Here is a 12417-nt window from a genome sequence, read left to right as displayed (position 1 = left end):
GAGGCCCCGCCTCCAACTCTGGGGGTCAACATTCAAACTGAAGTTTGGAGGGGTCAAATATCCAAACTATAGCATGTGATTATGGGCCAGTTCCTGTCCCCAAGGGGCTAGTGGCCAGTTGGAGAGACATATGTGATGATAATAGTGTCGGCAATAATCACCATATTATTGAGAACTTACTATGGACTGGTTGCTATCTCATTTATTCCTCTAACGACATTACAAGATGATGTTGATAATATCCCCATTTCACCTGTGAGGAAACTGAGGCTTAGAGAGCTTAGTTTCCTATTCAAAGTCACCATGGCAAGTAAATAAATGAGGGGAGACTCAAACCCAAATCTGTGCAACAGCAAAGCCCATACTCTATGCCAGAGCTTCCCAACTGGAGATGATTGGCCCTCTCATGCTTTCCCAGGGACATTAACAATGTCTTGGAGACATTTTGGGTTGTGACAGTGTGGCTGGGGATGGCTACTGGCATTTGGTGGGCAGAGGTCAAGGATGCTGCTAAATGTCATTCAATGCACAAGACAGTCCCTCCATACTCCAACAAATAAGTATTAGGCCAAAATATGGATAGCACTGGGGCTATCTCTAAGCCAGTGCAGCTCTAAGCCATCTCTGTGCACCGTATTGAAATAGGTATCTCTACTTTCTCCCACCTTGTTATTGCTTAGCCTAGCTCCGGAATGTTTTATTCATAGTACTCATCACAACTTATTATTTTTGTTCATTTGCTTGTGATTTCAGTTGTTAGATATCTCCTCCACTCTCAGCTGCTTGTGGGCAAAGGCTATGCCTGCCGTGTTCACCACTTCATCTCTAATAACTAGCACAGCATCTGGAATGTTGTAGAGGCTCAATGAATATTTGTTGAGTGAGCAAATAGGCAAATGGACATAGTGCAATTAAATAATCTGTGCAAGGTCATAAGAACAAAGTGCCAAAGGCAGTATTTAAACCTAGGTCCTTTTGAATCCAAATTCTCTGAGTTAAGGCATCTCAGGGTAATTAAAGCATTGTAAACATGTCCCTGTTCATGTCCCTGAGAGTTCAGAGTTCAGCAGAGGAGCGAGAAAAGTCTGTGAGTGTCAGGGCGTGATGCCAGATTCAGGCTGGGAAAGAAACAAGGGACAGAAGAAGGATGAGAAGAACTTCAGGACTCAGCTGAGTCCTCATGCTAGTAGATTGGAGAGGACTTAGTGGAGAGTTGCCCAGATATTAAAAGAACTGTTTAAAATGACCAGAATCAATCTTGCTCACTTTTAAGCAAAGATGGGCAATACAACATTTATCTTCTCTCAGTCCTCAGGGACTTTGGGCCTCTTAGAATTCCCAAAAATAATGGCTAGTGGCTCCACAAATGTAATTTAAGTCCTAGAAATACCCTAAAGTCAAGTACTGGTTTGGCTGATAGATCCCAGCCCTGGGAGCAGCTAAGCCTGACTCTGTTCCTGCAGGAGAGCCACTGTGGGAGCCAACTCCATATGGGCTCAGGCCTGGGGAGGCTGTCAGGGTAAGGGGAGGTAGGGACTGAGGTACATGAAGGCAAGGGCAAGGGAGTGAGGGGAGACAGAAAGAAGAGAGAGTGAAAGGCAAGGAGGAAGTAAGGGTTAGTGGCAGAATAGGGAGGAAGGAAGCAAGGGAGGAAATGAGGGGAGGAGAAAGAGAGAGAGGAAAGGAAAGAAGGAAGGAAAAAGAGAAAGGAAGAGCAGCTGGGAAGGAGGGAGGGAGAAAGAGGAAAGGAGGGAGAGAGAAGGGAAAGAGGAGAGAGGGGGAAGGAAAGCAAGGGGGAAGGAAGGAGAAAGGGAGAGAAAGAGAGAGGGAGGGAGGGAAAGAGAATGAGAGGGAGGGAGGGAAGAAAGAAGAGAAAGAGAAGAGGAAGGAAATAGGTGGGAAAGAGGGAAGGAGGAAGAGAAGGAGGGAGGGAGGAAGGAAAAAAGAAGGGGAAGAGAGAAGAAGGGAAGAAGGAAAGAAGGAAGGGAGGAGGAAAGAAGGAAAAATTGGTAATAGGAAATACTTCCTGAATATTTATAATTGCCTCAAATTGTGTGAAGTCCTTAAAATGAATAACAACCTTTACTGCTGAAAACAATCCTATGGGGGTAACTTCTTTCATCATGTCCTTTTTATGGATTAAAATAATGCCAAGTACATATAGCAAGATAGAAGAAATAACTTCGAATGTTCAATAGCAGAGTAGGGTGACTATAGTTAGCAAACAATGTATTGCATATTTCAAAATAGCTAGAAGAGAGGATTTAAAATTTTCCTAACACATAGAAATGATAAATACTCAAAGTTATGGATATTCTAAATACCTTGACTTGATCATTCCCGTTCTATGCATGTATTAAAATATTATGTGTACCCCAAAATATTATAGGTACTGCAAATATTTTGTATCTATAGAAATTTTAAAAAACAAAGCACAGAGACCTTAACCAACATGACTGAGGACACACTGAGGCAATAAGTGGTGAATTCAGATGTGAAAAATGTGCGGTCTGGGGAAGAGCTGCTGTGGTGGGGATGGGAGAGAGGACAATGGGAAGGGCAGAACCAGGCTCTATCATGGGGTCTGTGGGAATAAACTGAAAGCTCCTAGGTGTCTAGGGGCAGATAGTAGGGGTCTGGAGGCTGGACTCTAGCTCAGAATGGCTGTCTTTGACAAGAGAGAGCCCAGCCTGCTCTTTTTGGATCTTAGGGCAGCCCAAAGAGGCTCTTTGTTTGAATGGGCTTTGCTGATAGATTGTATTGGACATTCCTTGGTGACACTATTGAGCCCCAAAAGAATTGTAATGCCATTGTTAGATATTTATCCTTTGTTCTTGAAAGGAAAGAAACAGGAGCGATGAAAATGATCCAGTTATTATCATTTCATTATGCATGGGGACAAGAAAAACAAAGGAACAGAGAAAGGAAGTTATTAAAATAAATACAAATGGCTTATGTATGCTGTAACATCTACAGGTTGTGTTCCCACCTGTTTTTTCATAGGATATTCCCGTTTTGTGGTGGGTGTTAGATCTGCCCTCCCCAGTTTTACCAAAGAAGAAACTGGTTCAGAGAGAGGAAGTTTCCAATTAGTAAGAAGCTGGCATGCAAACTCAGGTCTTCTTATTCAAATCGTTAGCTCTTTCCTGTGTACCATATTCAAGTCATGCTCAGTTTCCTTTAAATGAAATTGACTTTTTTTTTTTTTTTTCAAATTAACTTCCCAGAATGAAAGTTGTGTGAAACAAGATTCTGGTCTATTAATCATAGAGAAGATTAATTCTAGAATGAGTTTAAGATTTGCTTATGACAAATGTCCCTTCAATAATTGTTTATGTAAGAGGTTATTTTTTAAAAAGTTGGTGCCCAAAAAAGTAGAATATGTCCTCTTCGGAGCAAATTAATGGAAGCAAACAATAGTGTTCTTGGAAATCTCTTGGATAAATAACTTGTACATGCTGTTCTCTGTAGTCCCACCTCACCTGAGGTTACATCCTTATTCCTCTCTTGAATCCAGCTCTGCTGAAGTCTTGACTTTTCATCCCTATTCCACCTTCCTAATCCTTGGCACCTGTGGATCTTCCCTTCCCTGTCATTTCTAGGGCCCTTTCTACCTCTACCCCATAGAAAGCAAGCTCCGCAGGGCTGGGGCTTGGTGTCTCTTTTTTTTTGAGGAGGAGTCTTGCTCAGTCGCCAAGGCTGGAGTGCAGTGGAGCCATTTCGGCTCACTGCAAGCTCCCCCTCCCGGGTTCACGCCATTCTCCTGCCTCAGTCTCCCGAGTAGCTGGGACTACAGGCGTCTGCCACCACGCCCAGCTAATTTTTTGTATTTTTAGTAGAGACGGGATTTCACCGTGTTAGCCAGGATGGTCTCGATCTCCTGACCTCGTGATCCACCCGCCTTGGCCTCCCAAAGTGGTGTTTCTTGACTGTGGCTGCATCCTTAGCATACTGTGTGGCTCACAGTTAAGCACAATATTTGCAGGTTGAATGACTGCATGGGTCACCAGCCACAAAACATAGACTGGTATCATTATTGTGAGTTCTCTAGACTCAACTTATATTCCTAGCCTCAACCTTGGCACACAGAATGAGAGCTCTGTAAATGTTTGCCAAATAAATCAAGGAGTGACCAAAATATTGTTTTATAAAACACATGCTTTCAGTAGAAACAGAATTTGCCCGTCTTGTGAAATAACATGATATTTCGAACTGTGTCCATGAAGACAATGGAGTGGGGTGGTGAGTGGTGGGGGCAATTAACAATCTCCGTACATTTGCGTGTTTTCATGGTGCCTCTAAAGGTCACAGGTGCCTAATGCTTCTGGCTGGCAGACACCTTAATCAAGTGGCAGCAGTAATAACAGTGACACCCAACAGTTACTGAGCACTTATATTAGGCCAGGCACTGTGCCAAGGGCTTTATCTATATTAACTCATTTTATTTTTCTTTGAATTAGAATTAGTTATTATCCTCTTTCAACAGGTAAGGAATAAGGCACAAAGAGGTCACATAAATGGAACTCTATGAAGCCTTATGGATATGCATGGGAGCTTCCAGGCTGCCCTGGGGATGAGGGGAAGGGGCAAGACCAGGAGAAGATGAGAAAAGGCATCAGGCACGAGTCTGTCCTCCCCTCCTACAGTTGTAGCAGATTGTATTTGGTTAAATATTTTATATATTGGGCTTCTGCAAAAGATTTATTAGAGGGAAAGAGTTTCGTCTAGCTAGAATAAAAGGTTTATACATTTTTAAAATTGATGTTTTAGTTCTACAGCTAGGAAGCCTAAAGGCTGGAGAATGTTAAATATCTTGGCAATTGTCATAGTGGCACAGCCAGATCTAAAAAATTTCAGCCTCCAATGGTCCGGGCATCTATTTCTTCAGCATCTATTGCTTAGATGCCCAGGTGTCTCTGTAATGGCACTTGAATTTAGTATACTTGTTGACCAAGAAACTTCCTTTTCCAGAACTTTTGCTTGCAGAGGTATGTCCTGAGCAATATTAAGTAAAATAAGGTAAATGTGGAAGTATCTGTCTTGTAGAATTGTTGGAGAGAGGAAAACAAGATGAGCAAGGCCAGGGTTAGACAAGGCAGGAAGTGGAAAGAATACTCAGGGAATTTGGACAAGGCTAGGGTGGGTGGGGGGTATGGCTTCTGGCTCTGGAATACAAAGGGCAATAACAATAACATGACTTTTTGAATGACTAACCAGTTGCATGCATACTAAGCTACATGCTTCACATGCATTGGCACTTTCCATAATGAGAGCAGTGAATTCTATTTCTTTGAAGAGAAAACAGAAACTCACACAGCTGGCAAGTGGCAGAGAGAAACTCAACCAAGGCCTGTCTGGCATCAAAGTACATTCTCTGAACCCCTCAGCTACACTGCTACTTTAAACCTTTTCAGGCCACAGGGCCTAAAAGACTTTCTTGAACCTGGTAGCAAATTTTGGGACTAAAGCTGGTTTAAAGTTATGGTTCCTGACCCAAACTCAGGCACATACTGAAGCCTTGAATTAGATCTGCCTTTAGGGCCAGTCCAGGGCAATTCAACCACCTGCTACCCAGATGCCTGAGACTTTTTGACCTGAGGACCAAACTTTTCGTTCTCCAATTAGAGATAAAATAGAAACTCCAGGTGGCCTCTTGAGTACCTTTTAGTTAGTGAACAAGTCAGAAATAATGGCCAAAAGCAATCCATGCATTTGTATGGCCCTTTAAGGTTTAAAAAATATTTCCCCCATGTGTTTTTTCAATGTCATTAGAGGCCAGCTATAACCCCTATGCAACAGAGCTGAGACTATGGATCACAAGGAAGGAATTATTTATGGAGAGTTACACACATCTCAGCAGTGGCTGACCTAGAACTCAGTCCCTGGTCTTCTCAGGACATTTTCTCTTTGTAAGGCACTAGAAAACAGAAAGGCACTAGAAGAGAATCGAAGTTCAAAGGGTAGGAGAGAAGGGCGCATTGAGGGGCCCTGTACAGAAAGAAAATTCTGACCACTGATTTTTCAGAAGGCACAGTGCTGGCTGGCCCTGTTTCTCTTAAGCTGGGTGGGGGCCCAGAGGAACAGAGCCCAGAGGTATTTTTGTCTTGTTGCTTCAACCCAGGGAGCTCCACTTGGAATGATTTATGATGATTTCTTGGGTTTATTATGTAAACACGGCCTACACCAAGGAGGGGACTTACATTCCCAGGGTCTTCCTTCCTGAGTGGCATTGCTCTAAAATTATTTTGCTTTAGGCTGAAGCTATAGCATAAGGGTCCTCAAGTTGTCAAACCTGGAACATTAGAATCATGAGAGAACTCAGAGGTTACTCAGCCCAGCTGTCTTATTTTGCAGTTGGGGAAACTGAGGCCGAGAGGTCAGAAGGGAGTTGCTTGAGGCACATAACTGACTAGAGTAAGTGGCTGGGCTAGAACACCCACATAACCCTCAACTATATCCTCCATGATTACTACAGCTCTTGGGAGAGAATGGTAAGCACATCAGATATACCTGTGTGGAGCTTAGATTCTATCAGGGAAGATAAACTTTAAACAAATAATTGGAAGTGGGTAGTGAAGGAATAGAGGTGCTTTATGGTACTATAACCAGGGACCACAACCTGGCCTGGGGCTAAGGGATAGCTTCACTGAGGTAATGAGGTTTAGATAGAGACTCAAAGGAGGGGCAAGAGTTTGTCCCCATGGAGCATAGGAAAGAATACATTCTGGATAGAGGGACTAGCATGCACCTGAGGCAGGGAGGAGGGAGGCAATGAAAATTGGCCAGTGCAGGAATTGAGGGGGCATGAAATGAGGCTGGGAAGGTGGTGGTCGGGGGAGGTCTGGTGGACCTCACAGGAGTTTAGATTATATTTTATATGCAAGGGAGAGCCATGAGAGTTTCAAGCAGAACAGAAAGTGGTGAGATTTGATTTGCTTTTTAAGTAAGATCTCTCTGGCTGCTTTGAAAATAATGGCTGGTGAGCACAGGTCTGATGTAAACATTGGCTCATTACCCAGTCCACCATGGCCTCTGTGGCTCAGTGTCCCCGTTAGCGTACACACACCTGGGATATTGGAATCCGGCTGTGATTTCTTTTAGTGTAGGTGTTACTCATGAAGCTGGGCACAGGACATGTGCCCTGTAAAGCCCTTGTGGCCTGCCTTGGGATAAAACCAGACAGCGGTGTTCTTGCTAGTGTTCAAAGGGCACAGTGGAAGTGGGAAGGGCCTAGAAGAAATGCCAGGGATGGAGGAAGCGAATGCCAAGAAGCCAGGGTGCCCAATGGGACTGGTCTAGAGGGTCCTCCTTCCACACAGACAGGCCTCAATGCTTCCTGTAACAGAAAATTTCACAGTTCACAAAACTACCTTATAATACATGCATTTTCTTTTTCCAGTCACTTTGTCTTTCCATCTGCATCCTGTCTGTTTTTCCTTGTTTCCTTCAGGAGATATTGTGATGCTTTTAAAAGCATGGGCTTTAGAGAAAGGCAAGTCTGGGTTTGAATCATGGCTTTTCCACTTACTAACTGAGTCACTTTGGGCAAGTTTCTTAACCTCTCAGATTCTCAGTTACCTCATCTGTAAAATGGGTATGTTCATATTTTAATTATGAAGTTGTAAGGTTTGAATAAGGTAGTATGTACCTTAAGTACTTAATATGTACCATAAGCAGAACATACTTAAGTACTTGGAACTTAGTAGGTGCACCGTAAGTTTCTCTTGCTCATTCATTTGTTCAGTGTTTATTGGGTAGCTATTGTAGGCCAGGCCCTGGCTAGGTACTGATGTCATAATGGTGATCCCCAAAACTCCTCTTTCAAGTCTGGGGCAGCGATCAATGTTCCCCAACTTCAGCATGTGGGGAAAATATCTCTTGCCATGGAGGATCTGGAAAAGGGGCCCAGATCAAGAGATAGAACTAGATGCTGTCTAAGCAATGCTGTCAAGGGCCCAGGTTACCATTTTTCCCATATTTTCCTCTTGCAGTTTCTTAGTTCAGTTCAAATAATCACACTGTGTCTGTAACTGTGTGGCAGGCCCCTGGCTAGGTCCCATAAACGACACCATGGTCAGTGAGTTGTAGGCCTTGGCCAATATGATAATGCCAACAGGATGGTGACTGAGATGGTGAAGGGACAAAACTTGTCACAAGGAAGTTTAAGTTGGTCATAAAAGACTCAATTAGTCTTCTAATTTCTGATTCCTGTCATAGGAAAGGGGGTCAAATGGCATTTTCAGGTTTTTTGGAGGCAGATCGAGGACCTTTGGTAAAAATCACCATAAGGCATATTTTGTCTCATTAAAAGAAACATAGCTTTCTAATATCTTTAGGTGTCCAGCAATAAAACAGGCTGTCTAATATGTAGAGCAAACTGTATCTCTGGGAATCCATAGGACAAGGCTGGATAAACGCCCACAGGGTGTTATAAAGGGAGTGCCTTGTTTGGGTGAAAGGTTTGATGGAATGACCTCTAGGTTTCCTAGTAGTTCAGAGACACAGGATTCTAAGTTTCCATTGTCGGGCTCACACCACCTTCCCTTGGATGCCTGCCAGTTTCCTCCCTCTGGGACTCACCCTGAAGCTTACCTCACTGCTTCCTGAACCCAACTCGGGAAACTTGCTGTGCCAACTTAGCAACCCTGGGATCCACATGTCAGGCTCCGGGGGCACACATGAAATAGATTCCCGTCTGTGTTCTGGCTGAACAATTTGATTTTGCTATTATAACCTGACCCTTTAGAAATCTTGCCCCTTTAGGTGTTTATATTTCCTTTCTTAGATTTGTATTTCACACACATTTCATATCATAAAAAGATATGCACACCAGCATCTGTTATAAAATTTTTAAGCTTAGTATTTTGGAAAATCAACAGTGTAGTGGCTCTAGAGTCAGACAGCTGGATTAAAATCCCAGCTCCATTACTTACTAACAGTGTTGTGTTGGCTAAGCCACTTAATCTTTCTAAACCTCAGCGTCCTTATCTATAAAACAAGGTAATAATAACACCTAGCTTATAGGAATGCTGTAAGACTAAATAGATAATAAATACAAAGTGCTTGGAAAAATGTCTGGTACATTGTAACATTTCCAATAAATGTTAATGGTAAATAAATAATTATTAAATATTGATTTTGTTAATAATCCTTCACTTTCTCTTTTACGTATTAGTTTTAAAATTATTTCTTGCCTCTTTTAGAAGTCAGAATAATATTGGCATTGAAAGGATTCTAAAGGGTACTGAATCTAACCCATTTTTTACTGCTAAGGAAATTGAGCCTCAGGGCTCATTGAACAGTAGAGCCAGTAATAGGATCCATCGGCCTTTGCTTTTGTCTGATGCCCTTTTATTTATCATAATTTTCCTAATGAGTATTAATTAAGAGTTATCTTATTTTTCTGATAGATGGCTTCAAAAAAATAACAAATGCCTTGGCAATGATTTCTTGGACATGATACCAGAAGCACAGGCAACAAAAGCAAAAACAGATGAGTAACACTACATCAAACTAAAAACTTCTGCACAGCAAAGGAAACAACCAACAAAATGAGAAGGCAACTTACAGAATGGAAGAAAATATTTGAGAACCATATATCTGGTAAAGGGTGAATATCCAAAATATACAAGAAATCTCTAGAACTCAATAGCAAAAAAGTAAATAATGTGATTAAAAAATGGTCAAAGGAACTTGCTATAGTTTGAATATTTGTCCCCTCTAAAACTCATGTTGAGCTGATGTAACTTAATGTCTAATATAACAGTATTGAGAGGATGGATTAATGGAGTATTACAAGAGTGGGTTTGTTATAAAAGCCATTTTGGCTCTCAGTGTGCCTCTCTCACCCAGTGATGCCTTTTGCTATGTTATCACACAGCAAAAGACTCCCACCGGAAGCCAACCAGATGTGGCTGCCTAATCTTGGACTTCCCAGTCTCCAGAACTGTAAGAAATAAATTTCTTTTCTTTATAAACTACCCAGTCTGAGAGATGCTGTTACAGCAATGCAGAACGGACTAAGATAGAAAATTGGTACTGAGAGGTGACGTTGTTGCTAGTAACAAATACCTGAAAATGTGGAAGAAACTTTGGAACTGGTAGGGGTAGAGACTGAAACAGTTTTGAAGTTAATCCTGGAAAAAGTCTATATTGATATGAATGGAATGTTAAAGGTGATTCTGGTGAGGGCTCAGAAGAAGAGAAGACTAGAGAAAGATATGCACATTGTACATATCACTGGTTTCAAGTATGCTGCCCCAACTTCCAGGATTTATGTACTGTGAGCAAAAAAATCTGAGAGCTATTGTCCTAAGTGTGACATGGAACAAGTGTTCCCTAGGGACATAATTTTGTGCAATACTGGGTTGAACAAAGTTCAACTGGTTTTCTCACTGCAGGATTTCTCAGTGCCTTTAGTGTGCTAATGCACATGGCGAGTCCCCTAAAGGAAGTTTAGAATGTAGCATTCATCCATCTTTCTTGGCCACAGAGCCATGTTTTTCTTTCCAAGAACATATGTGGGCACTAGTGTTCTGAGAAAACATTTTGGCAAATACTGTTGCAGAAGGAGTTCACCTTCTCTGTTTTCATCTGAGGAAAGCCAGAGACTGTTATACAAAGGGTTAACCTAAAGATTCATCCTTTTTAGTTCCTGATACACAACTCAGCCTCTCACCTCGGCACTGGCACCAAGCCTTACTCAAGGTACTTTCTGAACACATCTGAGAAGACTCAAAGGGCTCATTACTCCCTTTAGAGAGGAGATGGGGGCTTTTCTTCATGCAAAACTGAAAAATGGTGATTCATACACTCTACCATGGGGTTAGAGTCAGAAACTGGTAAATTTTTTCTGCTTACAACATTCAGCAAAAGCTTACATTCCAAAACCTAGCTCCCAAGTTGCCTCTACACAGGACATGCTGTGTTGGAACTGATTTCTCTCCATCTCCCTGGACACTGTGGAAAACCTTCATGTTTTCACCTGAACACAACAGGCTGAGCTAAGCCTTTGGTCAGTGTATTGTTAGCCTGAGGAAGTTAGTAGCTTGGAATGTCTCTTTAGGTTTTCGGACTATTTTTTACTCATCAGTAAAATGAGAGGGTAAGATAGGAGGTAACAAACACAGACATCCACTAAACCTGTTCTGTGCTAGATGCCATGCTTTGACAATGCAGCAGTGGAGAAAATATGGTTTTTTGATAGAGGCATGGCAATAAATTACAATACATCATGCTATCTGCAAAAAGTGCTACAGAGACAGAGGAGGAAAGGATGAATTGTGTTTCGATGATCTTTAAGATTCCTTTCGCCGGGCGCTGTGGCTTACATCTATATTCCCAGCACTTTGGGAGGCTAAGGCAAGAGGATCGCTTGAGGTCAGGAGTATGAGACCAGCCTGTCCAACATGGTGAAACTCCGTCTGTACTAAAAATACAAAAATTAGCTGGGTGTGGTGGCAGGAACCTGTAATCCCAGCTAATTGGGAGGCCAAGGCAGGAGAATTGCTTGAATTAGGGAGGCGGAGGTTGCAGTGAGCTGAGATCGCGCCACTGGACTCCAGACTGGGTGACAGAGTGAGGAAGTCTCCATCTCAAAAAAAATAAATTCCTTTCAGCTCTGGTATTCTTAGATACCAAGCCTTCTTTTCTTAGTATCTTAGATCTTTTCTTCTTGTTGCAGCTGGCCCAGAGCCTTCTGAATCTCAACACAGCAGTAGAGAAGGTTTAACCTTGCCATCACCAGGTACTGGTCTGCTTCTGACTGAATTTCATCTGGTGTAGATGTCATTTTAGTCTAGTTCAGCAGAGTTATCCTGACTCACGTTTTTAAATTCGGATGGATGCTCCTCCTAAACATAAGTCTACCTTAGAAGCCTGGGCTAGGGCAGAGGAGGAACTGGGTGCAGGTCAGTCATTCTCCTGAGCCAGCCTCCAAGTATGACAGGAAGAAGATGGGTCCTTAGTAGCAAAAATCATAGGCTCCTACCACTTCTTATTGCTTAAAGTAAATAACTAAAGTGCTTCACCCTGTACTCTAAACCCTCTGGCTCCAGGGCACACATTCAGTTTTATCATCTCTCCCTCTTTACTTCCTTCTGAGATTTGTGCTCGCAGTACTGGATACTGCTAATCTCTGTCTCCCCCATTTTTTGATACTTCTCACCTCCTCCTTTTTTCTTCTCATTTCTTACCCATCCTCCTTTTCCTCCTTCTCTCCTTCCACATTCCAAATGCCATTTCCTGAGGACAATTTCAGCAGTAATAAAATCATCATACTAGTGAGTTACTGGTTAGTTTCAGACAGAAAACCCAGATGCATGGTCTGATAATCTCCAGCTGACCCAGGGTGTGAGGAAAGATGGGCTCTGAGGACTTTCAGGCACTTCTAGCACACTCTACTGAGCCTCACCCAGT

General features: G+C 42.4%; 1 annotated feature.

The window, feature by feature from the left end:
* Nucleotides 3507–3676: an enhancer, noted in NCBI's record as "experimental_82030 CRE fragment used in MPRA reporter constructs". NCBI's record gives its function as "activates a minimal promoter by MPRAs in K562 erythroleukemia cells, with activity observed for the non-introgressed 5:148309561 variant allele {active_cell/tissue: K562}" and the evidence as "EXISTENCE:reporter gene assay evidence [ECO:0000049][PMID:34662402]".

The sequence above is a fragment of the Homo sapiens genome, chromosome 5 (genome assembly GCF_000001405.40).
Source record: "Homo sapiens chromosome 5, GRCh38.p14 Primary Assembly".
NCBI classification, from domain to species: Eukaryota; Metazoa; Chordata; class Mammalia; order Primates; family Hominidae; genus Homo; species Homo sapiens.
The sequence above is the reverse complement of the archived record's forward strand: the minus strand, read 5'-3'. Positions and strand labels throughout refer to the sequence as shown.